At 45.1% G+C, this 20,346-nt stretch overlaps 2 long non-coding RNA genes across 2 annotated transcripts in view; one reads left to right on the top strand and one right to left on the bottom strand.

Annotated features, from left to right (window-relative positions):
• The first annotated feature begins 8,649 nt into the window (after positions 1–8,649).
• On the top strand, positions 8,650–12,947 carry LOC107987284 (uncharacterized). Its single transcript, XR_001754693.2, has 3 exons — positions 8,650–8,722; positions 10,067–10,151; positions 10,882–12,947. It is a non-coding gene; the product is annotated as an uncharacterized LOC107987284 (long non-coding RNA).
• Positions 8,719–20,346, bottom strand: part of LOC107985434 (uncharacterized) — a 29,833-nt gene continuing 18,205 nt past the window's right edge. Inside the window, exon 3 of the long non-coding RNA XR_001754692.2 lies at positions 8,719–10,537. This is a non-coding gene — a long non-coding RNA (uncharacterized LOC107985434). The remainder of the gene's footprint in view (positions 10,538–20,346) is intronic.

Below are 20,346 nucleotides of genomic sequence, written 5' to 3' on the forward strand. Positions count from 1 at the left end.
TCAAGACCACCTTCAGCAACATAGCAAGACCCCATCTCTACAAAAAGTAAAAAAACAGTTAGCAGGGTGTGGTAGCACAGGCCTGTAGTCCTAGCTACTCAGGAGGCTGAGGCAGGAAGGTCACTTTGAGACCAGAAGCTTGAGGTTACAGTGAGCTATGATATTGCCACTGTACTCCAGGCTGGGCAATAGAGTCAGACCCTATCTCAGAAAAGAAGAAGAAGAAAGCAGAGTAAAGAGAAGAAGGAGGAGAAGGAGGACGAGGAGGACGAGGAGGAAAGAAAGAAGAAGAACATTTACAAAAACCTACACCTAATATTATACTTAATGAGGAGAAACAGATGCTTTTCCCTTAAGGTTGGCAATAAGACTGAGATGTCCCCTCTCACCACTCTTATTCACCTTTATGCCAGAAGTCCTAGGTAGAGCAATAAGACAGGAAAAGGGAATAAAAGATATACCGATTGGGAAGGAAAAAATAAAACTGACTTTGTTCATGGATGACATGATTGTCTATGTAGAAAATACAAAAACATGGTTGGGTGCAGTGGCTCACGCCTGTAATCCCAGCACTTTGGGAGGCCGATGCATGTGGATCACAAGGTCAGGAGATTGAGACCATCCTGGCCAACATAGTGAAACCCCATCTGTTCTAAAAATACAACAATTAGCTGGGTGTGGTGGCATGTGCCTGTAATCCCAGCACACTCAGGAGGCTGAGGCAGGAGAATCGCTTGAACCAGGGAGTCGGAAGTTGCAGTGAGCCAAGATTGTGCCACTGCACTCCAGCCTGGTGACAGAGCGAGACTCTGCCTCAAAAAAAAAAAAAAAAAGTTTACCAAAAAATGCATAGAATTAATTAGTGATGATATCAAGTTTGCATGATACAATATAAATAGATAAAAGTTGTTTTCCTATATGCCACCAACAATAAAGAGTTAGACTTTAGTAATTAAAAACACACTACCATCTACAACAGCATCAAAAAATCTTTAAAAAGTTAAACTCATAGAGAGTGGAATGATGGCTACCAGAGTCTGGGAGGTGAGGAGGGAGGGAATGGGGAGTTGTTAATCAAAGGGTACAAAGTTTCGGCTAGACAGGAGGAATAAGTTTTGAGATCTACTGCACAGCAGAATGACTATTGTCAATAATAATGTATATCTTATAACTTAGGAAGTAGACTTCGAATGTCTTACCTTAAAAGTGATAGGTAAGTGAGGTGATGAATATGTTAATTAGCTTGATTTAATCATTCCACATTGTATCGTATAAATGTATACAATTATAATTTGTCAATTAAAAATAAAATAAATAAATAAAAATGAAAAGATCAGAAGAATTTTTTAAATAGCACCAAAAAAGTGGAATACTTAGGTATAAGTCAAATAAAATATGTACAGGTCCCGTATGTGGAACTAAAAATCAAACACCTAAGTAAATGGACAGATAGTCCATATTCATGGATTGAAAGACTCAATATTGTTAAGATGTCAATTTTTCTGAATTTTTTCCTACAGATTCATTGTAACACTAATTTAAAAATCAGGAAGCTATTTTCTGAATATCAAGAAACTGACTCTAAAGTTTATGTAGAAGCACAAAAGATCCAAAATAGCCAACATGACACTAAAGAAGAAGAGCAGACTTCAAGACTTAAAGCTACAGTAATCAAGACAGAATGATATTGGCAAAAGAATAGGGACATAACTCATTCGAACAGAATAGAGAGACCAAAAATAGAGTCACACAAATATAGTCAACTGATCTTCAGCAAAGAAACAAAGGCACTTCTAAGGAGAAAGTATAGTCTCTTCAACAAATGGTGCTGGAACAATTGGACATCCATATGCAAAAAAAAAAAAAAAAAAAAAATCCAGACACGAACCTTACATCCTTCAGAAAAATTAACTCAAAATGAATCACAGACCTAACTATAAAATGGACCACTATAAAACTTCTAGAAGATAACATGGAAGAAAATCTAAGTGACATTGGGTTTAGCAATGAGTTTTTAGATAAAATACCAAAAGCATAATTCATGAAAGAAAAAATAATAAATTAGACTCTTTGGTCTAATAATAAATTAACCTCATGCCTGTAATCCCAGCACTTTGGGAGGCCGAGGCGGGCAAATCACAAGGTCAGGAGTTCCAGACAAGCATGAACAACATGGTGTAACCCTGTCTCTACCAAAAATACAAAAATTAGCCAGGCATGGTGGCACACACCGGCTACTCAGGAGGCTGAGGCAGGAGAATCACTTGAACCCGGGAGGCAGAGGTTGTAGTGAGCCGAGATCGCACCACTGCACTCCAGCCTGGGCGACAGAGTGAGACTCAGTCTCAAAAAAAAAAAAAAATTAAAAACCTCTGCTCAGTGAAAGACATTGTTAAAACAATCAAAGGCAAGCCACAGACAGGGGGAAGATACTATAAAACACTTACCTGATAAACGACTTGTATCCAAAACATAGAGTTCTTAAAACAATAAGGAGACAAACCAAATGGGTGAAAGATCTGAAAAGACATCTCATTAACAAAGATACACAGATGGCAAATAAGTATATGAAAAGATGCTCAACATCATATGTCAACAAAGAATTACAAATTAAAACAACAATGAGATACCACTATGCACCTATTAGAACGGCTAACATCCAAAACATACTGATAATATTAAATGTTGCTGGGGACATGGGACAACAGGTCTCTCACACATTGCTGATGGGCATGTATAATGATACAACCATTTTGGAAAATAATTTGGCAGTTTCTTATAAAGGTAAACATAGTCTTGCCATATTATTCAGCAGTCATGCTCCTAGGTATTCACCCATTTGATTTTAAAACATATCCACAAAAAAAAACCTGCACACAAATGTTTACAGCATTCAAATGTTTATACCATTTATATTTATAACTGCCAAAAACCAGAAGTAACCAAGATGTCCTTTGATTGGTGAATGAATAAACAAACCATGAACATTTGTAAAATTGAATATTATTCACTGATTTAAAACATGAACTATTCAGCCATAAAATTACATAGAGGAACCATTGGTGCATTTAATAAACAAAAAAAAAAGCAAGTCTTTAAAGGCTACATACTGTATTATTCCAATTATATGACATTCCGGAAACTGCAAAACTGTAGAGACAATAAAATGATCGGTGGTTGCCCAAGAGTTTGGGACTGGGGAGAGGAATGAACAGGTAAAGCACAGGGAATTTAGGGGTCAGTAAAATTACCCTGTATGATGCTATAATGAAGAGTAAATAATATACATTTGTCAATACCACAGAACTTTTGAGCACAAAGAGTAAACTTTAATGTGTGGGAATTTTTTAAAATAACTCATTTAGGATGTCAGAAGATTTTTGGAATGAATGTGACAAGGGAAACGACCTGTATTACAGATGAAACAGCCTCACAGAAGGGAGTAGGGAAATAAGGTGCTGACCTATGTAACACTGGAAGTAAGTGGAATCTGTAAGACTAAATGAAACTGTACATAAGCAGTGTATTCTACTTGATAAAGTTGTTTCCCACTGAGGTACAGGTTAGGAATTCTGATGCTGATATACATGTATTCTGTAATTGAACAATTAAGTAAATGAATGGTGAATGGTGAGATCTCAGTTTCCCATTGTTGGAGTGAGAGGTTACAGTTAAGCAAGAAGAGCAAACTAGAACGATCCATGTGGTGATGGATTAAATGTGGAGGCATCAACGTGAACTCATGTTTAGCTTAGTATGGATACAGGTGGTTACACACAGAAATATTTATAGATAAGTGTATACACACACATATATCTCCTTGCTCCATCAGCTGAGATGACCTAGAAGCAATGACAACTCAGTAACAATAAGCAATAATAAGGGAAGGGTGGAGAGAAAATAAACAAGTAAACACACAAAAAGCAATTAATCATATAATTTTTGCATAGAAGCGTGGTAAGGTAATAAACAAAGTGCTGTGCCAAAAGCAACCAGGGACGAAAGGCACAGGAGTAGGCTGCTCTGACAAGGTGGTCAAGGAAGCCCTCCCTAGGGAGGTGATATTTGAGCAGAGCTCTGCATAAGACAGAGCCAGATGTGGGAAGATCTGGGCAAGGGGAGGGTAGAACATTCTAGGAAGAGATAATAAGACATGCAAAGGCTCTGAAGCAAGTTCCAGTGCTTTCAATTGAGGATTCAAGGTCAAGTGATTTATTGAAGCTGTGCTGTCAGGAGTTACCAGGAGCAATGGCAGCAAAAGAGAAAAGAGGGAGAGCCAAGCTGAGGAGTGGCAGCAAAAGAGAAAAGAGGGAGAGCCAAGCTGAGGAGTGATTCCAAGTGAAATCCCAGCACAGCCTGGACCCTCAGGGAGCTCTGGGACATAAATTACAACCCAGAGTTTGTTCTGTCTCTAGGTAAAGGAGCTGGATGTTTGTAGTCATACATCAGTCAGTCATTGGCTATGGGACAGAGTTGAAAACAGAGTTCAAGGCAACTGAAGCAGCTACAGCCTATAGATCTGGGCATCAGAAATACGAAAGCAGTGCACATAGAGGCCCCAGGACATACAGTGATGCGTCCTTAGTTGAGGGATAGGCAGTAGGCCTAGCTGAGGTCTACCAGGTAGTAGCTGTTATGTGGTTGAGAGTGGAGATCTATCAGAGGTTGAACAGTACTGGAGATGCAGTTCCGGCCCTCACCAAAGTAGAGAAATCTTACTAACATCTCATTAACACACCGGGTATCCAGCTGAGAGATCATGTTATTCTTAAGAGTACGAACCACATCCTAGAGTAGGACCTATTTGAGAACTTGCCTAACAAAGCCCAAAATCAAGCTCTGACAAAAATCTGCAGGGGATCTGCAGTGTTTAGAGGTGAAGTTTTACTAAATTAGAGAGGCTTGAGAAACACCTTAGGCTTTGCACAGACTCATACCAGCAAAGCATAAAACCAAACCTACAAAAAGTTCAAGAAGATTGCCTGCCAAAACAAGGATCAACACTCTTCAGAGGAAGACAACAGAATCCAGAGTCTATACCCTATTGTTTCCACACTCTCTGAGATTCAACCAAAAACCACTGGAACCACAAAGAAAGATAAAAATGTAACCCATAGGGCAAAAAAAAAAAAAAAAAAAAAAAGAATCTGTCAATAGAAACTGAAACAAGATAGTCTAGATTTTGGACTTAGTAGACAAAACTTTAAAGCAACCTTTATAAAGATGTTAAAAGAATTAAAATAAAATATGGCCTTAATAACAAACCAAATAGGCAATCTCAAGAGCAAAATGTAAATTGTAAAAAAAGAGCCAAATAGAAATTCTAGAACATAAAACTTCAATTAAATTTCAAATTAAAACTTCAAATTAAAAATTTGTCATTCAACATGACAGAAGAGTTAGTAAATGTGAAGATGGATTAATTTAAAAATTATCTAATCTGAAGAAAAGAGAGAAAAGGGATTGAAGAAAAAAATCAGAGTCTCTGATCTGTGGTACAAGATCACACAGTCTAACATATGTGTATCTGGTGTCCCAGAAGGAGAAAAGAATGAGGCTAGAACAGCAAACATATTTGAATAAATAATGGTTAAAACCTTCCAAAGCTGACAGAAAATATAAACGTATAGATCCAAGAGGCTCTGCAAACCCCAAGCAAGATGAACACAAGGAGAAATTCACATGGTCACACCACAGTTAAACTTTTGAAAATGAAAGACAGAAACATCTTGAAAGCAATCAGAAGAAAACAGAGACTTGGGGTTTAGGGAAAGAAGGCTTAGAATGACACTGACATCTCATTTGGAAATAATGGAGGCTAGAAAAACAATGGAATGACATCTTTAAAGTGCTAAAAGAGAACATCTCTCAGATTTGTCTACCCAAAGATCTACCTGGAGAATTTTTTATCCATCGGCTCCCAACCCCCATTGCTGGAGGTTTCCCCTGGGGTGTTCACTCCCCTGCACATTCAGGCTGCACATGTGTGCTTGATGGGCAGGTTCCCACCAGTATTTGCAGCATCCAAGAATCCCTGGGGCGGAGGCATTAGTTAAAGCTACATGGGACACATTGAGGTTAGATGCTAAGATGGTAAGGTGAGTCAAAATGTTCATGGAATCCATGGCAGGCCCAGCTGAAATTATAGGAGAGGCGGGGCTGGGGCTACTATCAGCCCTACTTTGCAAAGGTGAAAATGAATACAAAGAGTGGTTAAATCATACGCCAAGACCCCACGGCTGATAAATGCTAGAGCTGAGTTTAAACTCAGTCTGTCTGGCATTTAAGCTCTCAGACATACCCCCACACTGACTCTTAAGATGCACCGCACAGTCATTATCACACAGGTATATACGGCATGCTCAGACCTCTGCACATACACCCAAGGCCACTGTGTTCACACACAGAGATGTTTCACTGCATGTGCACTGCCATGCTATTGCTTTTTTTTCTTCTTTTTCTTTTTTTTTTTTTTTTTTTTGAGACAGAGTCTTCCTCTGTCTCCCAGGCTGGAGTGCAACCTCCGCCTCCCAGGTTCAAGAGATTCTCCTGCCTCAGCCTCCTGAGTAGCTGGGATTACAGGCACCTGCCACAACATCCAGCTAATTTTTGTATTTTTAGTAGAGATGGGGTTTTGCCATGTTGGCCAGGCTGGTCTCGAACTCCTGATCTCAGGCGATCCGCCCACCTTGGCCTCCCAAAGTGCTGGGATTACAGGTGTGCACCACCGCACCCGGCCTGCCACACTGTTTCTACAGACACACATTCGTGTACACACACACACACACACACACACACAAAGCCAGGGACATGTGCATGTCTGTATTCATGCATGAATATAGCAAAAGCATTTTCATTAGGGAAACATTCCAGCTTTTTCCTGGCTCTGAAGACAATGTAATTGGGCTTGCCACAGGTGGAAGATGGGAGCTACTCTGCCCGCAGGCAGAAGGCCTCCCCACTCCCTCTTCCTCCCAGCTTGATGTGGTTAGCTAATCACTGCCAAGGATGTTATTCACTTCCCTCAGGGGCGGCCCCTCACACAGACCTCTCCTTTGTCTCACTCACCCCTGGAAATCTGCCCACCTCCACTCTCAGCCTCACATGTACTTTCCTGAGATCTCCGGCTCTGTCTGTCACCAGCACAGTGGGGATGAAATTCATTATTCTAAACTCTCGAGTCTCAGCCACGCTCTGGCAGCTGGACGGGTGGCAAGGGAAATGCCTTACTGCTGGCTTCATTGTTTCACGGAACTTGGTCATGGTCTCAGAGGTGCAGCCTCTTTTCTCCTGTTGGTTCCACCAAAAAAGGGGCCTCCAGAGGCAGTCCATGTGAGCTGGACAAGTGACTGCTCCCAAAATTCCAAAGCCCTCCTTTTTCCAATTCTTTGTGAGCTATAGCATGAAGATGGGGATTTTGTCATGCATTTATTCAGTGAACATATCTGAGCATCTACTGTGTACCAGGCACTGGGGTTCTAGCAGGGTCCATTTATGTTCTTTCACTCTCAGTACCAAGCCCAGTGCTTGGCATATGGTAGGTGCATAATTTACATTTGTTGGATGGATGGATGGATTGATGACAGACAGATGAATGTATGAATGTGCAGATGGATGGATGGATGGGTAGGTGGGGAGGTGGGTGGATGGATGTGTGGAATAAGCTCTACACAGAAGGGTGTAGGCTTATAAAGAAGATATAGTTGCCATCTCAAAGGTGTCCATCCTCTAGGAAGACTTTGCTTATGCCACCCTATACTGTAGTTACACAAGTGGAAGGAGCAAGGGATGGGAGTAGGAAGAGAGAGTTAGGGAGGCAGGTGTTACATCTGGCTGGGGCATTTCAGGCAGAACATTAGGGGAAACCCTTCCCAACCACCTCAAGTCCAGCAGGAGAAGCAGTGCCCATCCCGACACTTCATGAAAATAATCAGCCCAAGCGTCCTTGTTAGGGGTGACCACAGGGCCTCAGGGGCCCCTGGGGTGGGCCCTGTCATCATCTGGTTAGGCCAAGGTGCCTTCAGAACAGCAATGCTTCAAGGTGTCCACCGAGGCAGTGGGTCCACTGTGCTTTAGCAGGTCACGGCAGGTGGACACACTTCAGAGTGCCCACTTCATCAGGCCACCCCACTGCAGAATCCTCAGCCCACTGGGCTTCAGCCTCCACATGCCGCCTTTCAGCTCATGCATCATGCACCCCTCTTCCATGTGGGCCCCTCCTTCCCCACCTGCACACGTCCTCAGCAGGTGCACACCAAATCAGGTGCTGTCAGTGCCTAGACCCACCTAATCAGATCCAGTTCCAGCCCACCCTGGACACAGAAAGCCAGGCCAGATCCACTGCCTTAAAATCCAGTCTCATTTTTAGTAACTGGAACACTGAGGCAGGTGGGTGCCTCCCAGGGCCCTCCCGTGTCCCGGTAGAATGGCTGGAGACCGAGTGTCCCCATACATGGATGGCGCAGCCACATTCAGCTGAGGATTGGAACCTGCTCAAAATGTTTGTTTCCTGTTTAATCGGTGGTAATAAAAAGTCATGGATTCCAACCAAAATACATTCCACTCCTTCAGCCCTGGTTTGTCAAAATTGCTTCTCTCTGAAGCTCCAACCTCAGGGCTGTGGGAGCCTGTGGTTGACTGGCAGGCTGATCGCGCACAATATCATATCGGGTCAGAATCACCCCATTGGCCTCCACCTGCCAACCTTGGAAAGAAATTCAAGGTAAGGACAAGTGAGTCTAAAAGTGCAGCTCTTCCTCCCAATCCCTCTCAAAACTCAAGTTTTGACTTCTGAGCTGTGAATAAGGATCTCATTGAGCCAAAGTTCCTTAAGGTTTTTTGCTGCACCCACAGGGGATCGTGTGCAGGCTAGGAGGGTTGCCATGGAACTTCAGCAGCCAACCACGAGGAAGGGAGGGGGAGCTGCCGCCCAAGCAGAGGCCCCCACTTCTGGCTGGGGGCCTGCCTGGCCCTCCGCAGCCGTCTCCAGCGCTCTCCTCTCATCTGGCCCAGTTCAGGCCTGCGCCACCAGCTGCAGACAGCCTGGCCTCCCGGGGTCCCACCCACCACTCACTCACCTCCATCTCAGGACAGCCCGTCTTGGCGCCACCCCACCCTGTCCCCTGCTCCCCTGTTGCCTCCATGACCACATCTTTCCTTTCCTACAACACACAGAGCACCGCTAGGGCAGGGACTAAGATCTTTCTCCTCTCCCTTTGGATTTAACTGACAAATGCGCCTTGGATTTCTAAGCCGATTCCCTGAGGGCTTGTGCCGCATGTATAAATCTGCAGCCAAAATGCCAGTGCCCCCAAACTGTCAGCTTCTTTTTTTTTCCCCTTTAAAGCAAACTAATCTTCCTCTGAGCTCCTGTCTTCAGGAAATCAGACTGCCACCCTTGTCAGGGGTGTCCTGGGATCGGCGGGAGTAAGGAGCCGGGAAAGCTGGCGTCTAAGGTACAATTCAACCAGCTAGCTGTGGATCCTCAGGCAAGTAAGTTCACCTCTCTGAGTCTGAGTGTCCTGGTGTATAAAGTAGGAATGATTGTGCATGTACGCACACACATGCCCGAGATAATGGGTTACAGTGCTTTGTAGTTTGAGGCAGAGGCTCAGTATGAGCTATTGCGCTAATAATTGCAACAGAAAACTGAGGCGTATTTTCACATTTCTGTTTTGGGTTGTGTCTCCTCTGTGTTCCCTTTCCCTCCATACGTCTTCTTCTGAAGGTCAATTCCACAATCAGTTACCAGAAGTGGCAAGACTGCCGGAGCTGTAATCCCAGCTAAGAAGTGGCTGGCCATGGCTCTGAGTGACGGCTTCACAAACCTCACCGCATTCCGTTCTATAGCAGTCTCTGAGCTGCGAGCCAGGGCTCTCACCATCCCCACTAGACAGCTGAGCATACTGAGGGTCAGACGGATGAAAGGACGCGCTCAGCATGCGCCACTGCTAAGCCGCAGATGAAACCCACACTCAGATCCAGGACGCAGGAGGGAGGAGCGGCACAGAAAGAAATAGGAGCTGCCTTCAGGTTCAAAGCACAATTGTTTTGCTTTTGTTTTTAGACCTCGTGCAAAATGAACAAAACTCATCCAGAACGATGTCCACAGGCCCCTGATGGCTCCCCAGGCCTCACTGAAGCAGGGAAGGGTGAGCATCTCGGTCCACTTCCCCTGAGAATCCAAATTCCTGTTTCTTTTCTTTCTTTTTTGTCTTTACTTATTCCAAATATGTTCAAAATGGAACTATGAAATGCCATATTTTATCCAAATAAGTAATTTTTAAAATGCCATCTTAGAAGAGCTTCTAAACATTTCCAAAGGCCTTTCAAACTTTCTCCCTGAAAGGCTTTGTACCAGGCAACCAAATCCTTCCGGACTTGTTGAATGCGGAGAGTGAGAGAGCCAGTGAGTGGTGCTGGTGTTGTCTCTTTGCTTCCTCCTTCCTCCTCCCCCCACCGGCCCCCACCAATCTGTCCGGTGGATGCTGAGTGATCATTTTGCGGATGGCTTGGAACTTGGCTTCTCGAGGGGAAGCTGGTATGAGAAAATGAGAATCTCATTCAGATGGGCTTGCAGTTTTTATTCCCCTAGCGAATTATTTTCTTATTTCCATCCCCCTTGATTCCTTTGCAAAAAACTGCAGCCGTCTTTCCTCCCTTCTTTGCCTTAGTTGAATTAACTTAATTAGGGCACTTGCTTTTGACAACGCTGGGAGATTTTTAGCTACCGAACTGTCCTCAGGAGACCACAGGAAGGCTGACGCACTGTCTGCAATTATCAAGCTAATCACTCAGAACACACTCGTTTGTTTTATGTATTTATATCTTGGGATATAAACCTTCATTTCCATTTTTCTTTCGTTCTGCTGTGTGTGCCAGGCAGAGTGAGGCACTGTGGGCAAGAGAAGAGCCCTGCCCTTATGGAGAGCAGCTGGCCAGACAGACATTAAACACATGATAATACACAGAAACATGTGATTACAGGGAGTGAAGAATGCAACAAAGAAATAATACTTTGAAATATCGCCTTCTCTTTCTGGACTTCTTTGGAATACAGCCAGTCAGAGCATAGCTCTAAGACCAAGAGTAAGCAATGCCTTTTGAAATATTCTGTTTGAAATCAGAGCCCTTCCCCACTGCAGTCAATTGCGGGCACAAATATTCCTTTTGTTCACAGACCACATCCTGTGTTCCCCAGGGCCTCACCCTGAGCTGATCCCAGGATGACCTAGAAGAGGCATGTTTTACTGAAATCGTTTCTAAAACTTACACTAAAGCTACAATATCTGAACGCATGGTAAGGACACACATTTTCAAGTTTCTCTTTGGGTCACAGGTGTGCTGCTTTCTACATCAATTTGTCAGGAAGACAAATCTTTTAGTGTCGGGAAGAAAAGCAGCAAGATGAAAAAGAAAAAAAAAAGAAGATATTTCAAGATCAGATTCTTCATCCTACTTTTCTGACTTGCCAGAAGCTAACGACATCTTTCCTAGCAGTGACTGGCAACCACTCTGAAAACTTCACCAAATTATTACTCCTTTATTTTTTTGAAAAAACAGGCAAGTGTATTTAGTTGTCATTGGTTACAACCAAATTTCTCTAAATATTTCAGTGCATCTCAAAATACTATATTGATAAGTTCAAGTCATAAAAAACTGCATTAGGAGTTTTGGAAAATTTACTGGTAGGATTATGCATGTTTTTCTTCCATTTGAGTTCTCCTCTGAATGCATGTTTATTTAAAGAAAAATTGTGGTATTTGGAAGATTGAAGACTGACTTCTAAACTGTGCTGACTTCAGGAAGACCTACTTTTGGCCAGGCACAGAGGCTCATGCCTGTAATCCCAGCACCTTGGGAGGCTGAGGAGGGAGGATTGCTTGAGCCCAGGAGTTCAAGACAAGCCTAGGTAACACAGCAAGAAAAATGTTGAAATTAGCTGAGTATGGTGGGTCATGCCTGTAGTCGCAGCTACTTGGAAAGCTGAGACAGGAGAATGGCTTGAACCAGAGAGGTGGAGGCTGCAGTGAGCTATGATCATGCCCCTGCACTCCAGACTGGGTAACAGAGTGAGACCCCATCTCCAAAAAAAAAGAAGACCTGCTTTTTTCTCCTTCTATCCAGTCCCATCGAATTAACTGTTCTTGGAAAGGAGGGCACATCCCAAACTGGGGGGTCACAAGGTGATTTGTGAGGTACACGTAGCATCAAAACCACAGATACACACGCTGACAGAGCTATTCCTTTTTAGTCCTTTGCTTGGCCCAGGAGAGTCCCCAGTGGGGACTAGTCAATTTTCAGCACCTCCCCAGTGCTGCCACCACCCTTTTTAATAGAGAGAGTGAGCAGCTACAGCACCAAACTGGAATTTCGTAACATCAGCTTTCATTATTTTTATGACCATTGCCTTCCACATAGGTCAAATGGCACTGGTTTTTCACTTATGGTCATGACTTGAAGCTTCCTTTTTAAAATAACTGTATGTTTTCAAAAGTGTGTAAATGTAAAAGAAAGGATTAAGTAAATAATGGCACGATATGGCAGGTGAGATGCAAATGGCAGGTTTGGGGAAAAGGGCAATCGATAAAAATAAAGGCAGCTTGGCTCTCCCGCTCTCCCAGCGCTGCAGCTCAGAGGAAAACTAAAATTAATTCCTTTTGCAGCATGACGGGGAAAAAAAGCATCCAGAAGGAAATTCATCAAACCATTAAAAGTGATCTCCCCCAGGGAAGGGGCTTGCAGGCAGGGGGAACACATTCACATTTCGCTTTAAACACATCTGGATTATTTGAATTTTTGTATTGCATAGAAGTTAACCCTTTGTCTGACTTCTTGGTTATAAATGTTTTTCTTGGAATGCCTTTTGTTTATTGCCTTTGTGATCTCTTGGGCAGGCAAAACTTCTCAACTTCATAAAATAAAATAAAAAATCCATCTTTTCTTTATAGCTTCTGGGTTTCCAGTCTCCCTGGCCCCTAGATTGTAACTGCAGTATCACACATTTCTTGCAATACTATTATGATTATTGTGTTACTTGTAAGTATTTAATTCCTCTAGAGTTGATTTCTGTATCCATGGACCATTGGTTCCATTTTCATGTTCTCCCATTTGTCAAAGGGTTCATCCATCCTCCTGTCTTGAACATCAGCTCTCTCCGTATATACCTTCTGAGTTATAAGGACAGTTCCACTTCACTTCCTGCTTCACTAATCTAGTCCCTGTCACGACACCAAAACTGACTTGGTTACAGGACCTTTAGAGCCTATACTAATACCTGGATAGGTAAATCCTCCATCACTCTTCTCATTTTCCACATTTCCTAGCTATTCTGAGGGCATCTCTTCTTCCATAGGAACTCTAAGATTATATTTTTATTTGAGTATGCATTATTTCAATAATTTAAAAAATAAAATATTTTATTATTAAAAAGGTGGCCAGGTGTGGTGGCTTATGCCTGTAACTCCAGCACTTTGGGAGGCCAAGTCGGGTGGATCACTTGAGGTCAGGAGTTCGAGACCAACCTGGCCAACATGGCGAAACCCTGTGTCTACTAAAAATACAAAAATTAGCTGGGTGTGGTGGCGAGCGCCTGTAATTCCAGCTACTCAGGAGGCTGAGGCAAGAGAATTGCTTGAACCTGGGAGGCGGAGGTTGCAGTGAGCCGAGATTGTGCCACTACACTCCAGCCTGGGCGACAGAGCGAGACTCTGTCTTTAAAAAAAAAAAAAAAAAAACTCCTTGTCCAAAAAAAAAAAAAAGTGGGGGGAGGCGGCACCACCAGATGCTGGTGAGGATTGGAGTACCGAGAGCTCTCACCCCTGGTTGGTGGGAATGCAAAATGGTGCAGCCACTTTGGAAGACAGTTTCACAGCTTCTTGCAAAGTTACACATATTCTTTCCATACCACACAGCAATTGTGCTCCCTGATATTTACCCAGAGGATTTGTTTAGAGCAGCTTTCATCATAATTGCCAAAACTTAGAATCCACCGCGATGTCCTTGGGTTGGTGAATGGATGAACTGTAGTACATCCAGGCACTGGAATTTTATTCAGTACTAAGAAAGGAACAAGCTATCGAGATAGGAAAAGATGTGGAGGAAACCGACGGCATGTTACTAAGTGAAAGAAGTCAGTCTGAAAAGCACACACTGTATGGTTCCAACTCTATGGCCACACTAAGGAGGCACAAAACAAAGAAAAGATGCGCAAAAGACAAAAACAAACACAATTAGGGAGGCGAGTGTCCCGCTCTGGTGGGGGATGTTGATAGTGAGGGAGGCCGTGCCTGTGTGGAGGCAGGGGGTTTATGGAAAATCTCTGCACCTTCTACTCAGTTTTGCTGTGAACTTGAAACTGCTCTTAAAAAAATAAGGTCTTTTTTTTAAAGGGAGGGAGGGATCTTTTAAATTGTCTCTTTCTTGTATATCAAAAGCTAAGCTATGCCAGCATCTGAAACAGAAAGTGGCTGAGGGTACCTCTGTCACTTGGACCTCTTCTGCTCACAGCCTCCCTGAACTGGTGGCCAGGGAAGGCAGTGGGAGGAGAGGACCAAGTCTCAAACTCCAGAAGCCCCACCTCCCTGAGCTCAGCAACTCTGCCAAGCCCCCTCAGGTAAGCCAGCAGGGAGGCGGTGGGGGCTCTATAGAGTGAGCACTTCTCAGCCAGTTACCTGGCTAGGAGCCCAGCAATTCTTGCTAGAACCCCGCGGATGTGGTGCCAGTTTGAATAAGAGTCAGCTCTGGCTGATTCTTGCAGACAAAGTGAGGTGGAGCTCTCTCTTTGAGCGTTCTACTATGCACAGGACTGCAGGTGGGAAATCGCTGTCAGGAAGGACAGAGGGAGGAAAACGTTGACAGCGCAGATAAAAGGGGTCAAGTTCACGGGACTTTGACCATGTCCCAGGCATTGTGCTGTGCCTGCACTCCTGTCATCCCCCCATTCTACAGACAACTATTCAGAGAGATTAATTCTTTCACCCATGACCACCCAGCTTACGGGGGCACTTGGAGCTCACCTGTCGGCTCCAACCCCTTCTCACTGCTCAGTGCAAGAGTAAGGCAATACACTGCCGGCCCCACCCTGGAGGAAAATACTCGGCTCTGAATCTGCACCTCTCCCAAGTAGGTATTTACAAACAAAAGAACTCAGCGCTCCCGGCCGTGAGTGTTGCAAATACATACACAAAAATGACTGAGCCTGATTCATCATTTGAGAACCAAAGGGGATAAGGCTGCATTAACTATGAGAGTTTGCGTCTTCCAGCAGACAAAACAAAAAATGAGAGCCACTCTTTCTAAATGTTTTTGTATCCAACCCAGTTCCTTCCAATTTTTTGCCATTGTTTAAAAGATGTTGAAGCTTCCAAGTGCACAGCTCAGGAAAGTTTTCATCATGTCTCATCCTGTGTGTTGCAGCGCGAAGTCCTCGTCCAGAGAAGGCAACGGCGAGAAACAAATCCAACATCCTGGGCTGCTTTTTCCTTCCCCCACTTTTTAAAAGTTTGGTGTCCAAGTCACTTGACAAACCCAGACCCTAACAATGACATTTTGTGTAGAATTCTGGGATCAAAATATAATTTCAAAAATAATATATTTTCTGACATCCCCCAAGAAAAAAAGTACTGGTTTCTTCCCCCTAAAAGGATTTAGATGGAATAACATCTGTGCTGAGAATATTGTGAATATGTTGAACTGACAGGCAGTCTCTAAGGCACTCCGCTCATTAATGTGCTGTGCATAAAATTAAAACTTGAAATATATTTTTAAATCCATTTTGAATCATTTAAGCAAAGAAACTATTGTGCTGAAATAATATATTTGGAGCAAGGAATATGAAAGCTATTAAAATGTCTTAGACCTCCTGCCTTTCATGGGAGAGGAAGAAGGGGGGAAATGCTCTCTCTGATTTGAAACAGGCTTTGCATAAAATATACCCACCCCACCTCACCATCTCCCAAAAAAAAAATCTACTCTGAAGTAACACTAAGAGTTTCACTTAAATCCACAGGAGCCAAGGAACACGAAGTTGGGTCTTTATATTTCTCCTGCTTCCACTGTGCATAGCTGAGCTGGGGAGCAGCTCAATGAGGGCTGTGAGGGCCCAGGTATGGTGGGCACCTTCCCTGGGTCTGCAGCATTCACGGCTGTGAGCAAGAAACCCTAAAGGAGGGAGGAAGGGAAGACAAAGACACAAAGATAGGGCCTTGTTTTGCTCCCGCCTTGTCCTGATTTCTGCAAACATTTTGAACACTCAGGATGCCAATTAATTCGTGGGTTCTTTGGAGCCCGTTGGCATGAGTGTGTGCTGGGAACAGCAGCCTGACAATTCCCCAACAACCCCCGTTCTCTCACTCGTTGTCTCATTCATCTGTCTATCAAATATGTGTTGAGTGCCAACCAAGAGCCATCACTGTCCTGGATTCTGAGAGTTCAGTGTTGCGAAAACTCAACTGTGAAAACCTGCTAGGAAGGCACGCTGTCGGAAGAGGACAGGGTGGCACCAAGAAATGGGGTGGGCATCTGGCCTGGTCTGGGAAGGCTTCCTGGAGGAAGTGACAGCAGAGTTGTATTCTAAGGGAAGAGGAAGAAACGGAGAGTGTACGCCAGGCATGGGGGTGGCAAGTGCAAAGGCGCTGAGGTGGGAATTTGCCTGAAGTGTTTCCTAGATGGGAAGGCGGCCAGTGTGGCAGGAGCACAGATTGTGAGGAGGGGCTGAGAGAGTGGAAGGGAGAGTCAAGGTAAATGGGTCAGCCCAGGTAGGGCCTGTGTCCACCATGAGAAGCCTCGCCCTTACCCTAAGAGCAAACACGTTGCCCTCAGCAAGCACAGGCAGCTCATGACTGTCCAGCCCTCTCTGCCAGGTGGAGGGCAGTGGAAGGGGTTGTGCATCCATGCAGGGCTGGGTGGAAGCTGACCAGGTTAGGGAGGGGGTATGAACTCGCTACTTCCCACGCCAGTGCCTATGTCCATGGTTCCCTCTGCCAGGGCCTCCATCCTCCTAGTCCCCATCCTTTGTGTCTCAGATACAGCAGCACGTCCCCTTGACCACTCAGCTGTGCCAGGACAGGGCAGATCTTCAAGGAAGCTCTGTGCCCCTCCTTCAATGCCCATGTGGAACTGGACACCACCTTCCACCCCGCAGGCCGGGAGCCCCTGGAGTCTCAGGCTGGGGCATATATACCACCATTCCCTCATCACCCCCTGTACCCCATGGGGCCCACCACCCACTGGGGCTGACAGAAAGAAAGATTCGTAACAATGGGACCATGTTAACTTGCTTGCTGCTGTACATGCACATGTGACACTCACAAATATTTGTGAATGAATGCGTGAATCAATGAAAGGATGAATGAATGAATTTCACTGTGAACTGAACTAAACTGGACAAAGCACAGAGTTGTGCACCTTTAAAGCTTCCAGAACAGATGACAGCGAGGATGTCTGACACTTCTCTGGTTAGGAAGCTGAGGTTCTAGGAGACTGCCAAGTTGCCAGAGCCACCTGTGATCACCTGACCACACCTGCAGCACCACAAGCACCACGCATTCCCTCTCTGTGGCCCAATTCTTCATGCACCTGCTATCACCAACCTCCAATCTCCAGCACCTCCCACAGGGTCTTGTCCTCTATCGTCCCCACTTCCCTGCCACTAAGACCCTGAAACTCACTGTCACCACTAGCAGCCCATTGAGAGAGAGATTCAGTCACAGCCCAGGAGGGTGCCCAGAAATCCACCGTGAGGTTGCAGCAACGTGATTTGGCAGAAGAGCAAGGAGTGGGAGAGATCGGAGATGCCCTCCTGGGCCAGTGAGGCAACTGGCTAGGGTGGGTGCCTTTACACTGTAGAGGCAGGTTCCCTGTGCTCACCAGACCTGGGTGAACCCTTTATTTCACTGATTTTAAAATACACGTTATTTCACAATTTAACTTCTCTGAGATTGAGATGCAACTCATGACTGATTGATGGATATTGGGTTTAAAGGCCCAAGTGATGACAGACACCTGGATGGCCTGGGAGGTTCACTTTCTCCCTCTTTTTCGAGGTGAGTAAGGAGCTAGCTCCACACGACTGAGTTGTCTCCAGGGAAAACAGACTGATACCAGCTGCTGGGCACGAGGCCGCCTGCTCTACAAGGTCACTAATTGTGGATTAGACACCCCTTGGCCTCCATCCCTATGTGTGGGTAGAGCATTACAGGGCAGGATCCTCTGCCTGAGCCCTTTCTGAGGTGCTCCACATCCAGCTGTGCCCAGCCCTGCACACCTCCCATGCAGCAGCAGGAGCTCAGGGATCATGTGTGCCTGGCTACTTCTCCACCAAGTCTTCCTGCAGCAAAGTCAACTTCAAGTGCACTAATATGCAAGCCCCCTTTCCACGCCATGGTATTTTTATGGTACATAAGGCAATAGTGTTTAATAACCGAAGACATTTTAGATTTTATTATAGGCAGTAATCAGCTGTCCTGGGCCAGTAGCACAGCCATCTTGTTTCCTCATCTGCTTTATGGGATAATGTCCACCTTGGATTCATTTTAAAACTCCAGAGTATTGCAGGTGCACGATGCTGGCACATAGTAAGTGCCCAACCAATATTGACGATCCTGGATGAAGAACCCTTGGCTCTTCTTTAACTTGGGCTGCAGCAATTAAAATTTGCAATCCTGTATAGAAAATGCCAATGCTTTTTTCTAGTCTTTCCCGGAATTTTTTTCTGAAATCCCTGTATCCTGGGGAAGCTCTGCAGAGAAATAATGTCTGCCATTTTACAAGTAAAATGAATGACATAAGAGAGCCCAGTGCAAATTGAGATGCTTTCTGCACCAGGCTGGGCAGGTTCCTAGGAAGAGTCGCAACATTCCAGGCAGATATTTCCGGGAAGATCCCCAAGGCAGGTGAAATCTCAGAGTCCTGCGTAATTTTCCCTTGGCAACAGTCATGCATTTCTCCCCTAACATCTCCATCTTTCAGTCTTTCTCTCCTTCCTATTTCTAATATTTGTACCTTCAGGGAAGGCCCATTCGTGAAACATAACCCATGCACTTCACATGCATGAGGCTTGGTGAGGACGTGGCCCTCTCTGTTCAGGAAGATGCTACCACCCTCCCGTGGCACGGGTTGGTCTCTGTCCTAAGACGTTTCATGTGCCGAGTCGCTGGCTCCTCCCTGAGCCCTGAGGTGGGTACCATTATCATGCCCACGTTATGGGGACAACCGAGGTTGAAAGAGACTAGGGGGCTGGCCTGAGTGCTCGCAGCCAGGGGCTGGCAGGGCTGGGATATGGAGCCAGGTTCGTGAGGCTGAAGGACCCCACCCTGGAGCCATCAAACCATACTCAGCCCCTCCTCCACGCTGCACCCTCAGCTCCTGGGGGAGGTCGGAGTGTATTGAGCCAGGACAGTCCCAGTCATGGAGTTTGTCTAACCATTCACAGGCTGCTCACATCCCTCCCAGAGCCTGTTATGCTGGGCGTTTGGTTTGTATGTTTTGTTTGAGGTCTCCTCCCTCAAGGAAGATTTGCTGGATTTAGAAACCTGGACCAGGGGCCCCTTCTCACTGTGCCCATGAGATTCTGTCCAGGCACTCAGCAGTCTGTACTGTGGGTGTTAGTATCCGTGTGTGCCCCTGAATTGGTTTGCTAGGGCTGCCCTAACACATTAACACAAACTGAATGGCTCAAAACAACAGAGATTTCTTCCCTCACATTCGTGGGGCTGGAAGTACAAAATCCAGCCTTCAGCAGGGCCGTGCTCCCTCCAGAGCCTCCAGGGGAAGATCCTTCCCACCCTCTTCCAGCTTCTGGGGGTTGCCGGCAATCCTTGGCTTGTGGCAGACTCACTCCAATCTCCGCTTCCATCTGTACATGGCCTTCTTCCCTGTGTGTTTGTGTCTCTGTGTCTGCACATGGTCTCCTCATAAAGACATGTTATTGGGTTAGGAACCTGATAATCCAGTATTACCTCATTTTAATTTAACTAATTACATCTGCAAAGATCCTATTTCCAAATAAGATCACACTCACAAGTTCCAGGTGGACAGGAGTTGGGGGAGGGGCGCCATTCAACCCAGTCCACCCCCTTATAAGATAATTGCCTTTTGAGAGCAGAGCTGGTGCTGATTAATCTATGTTGGCTGTCACTAAGTGTCTGATAAATAATTGGATACATGCGTGCATTGAGCTTAGAAGTGCTGACTCTTACTAGCAAATGTCACAAGACTGAAACCTGCCCAGCCTGTGAGTGCCTTTAACACCAAGAGGGAATCTTTGCTCCCCTCCTAGGTCTCTCTGTAAGCTGGCAGCAGAAATATCCACCCCCACCCCGGGACTGCTGTGAGTGTTGAATATAA

Source organism: Homo sapiens, chromosome 20 (assembly GCF_000001405.40).
Source record: "Homo sapiens chromosome 20, GRCh38.p14 Primary Assembly".
Classification (NCBI taxonomy): domain Eukaryota; kingdom Metazoa; phylum Chordata; class Mammalia; order Primates; family Hominidae; genus Homo; species Homo sapiens.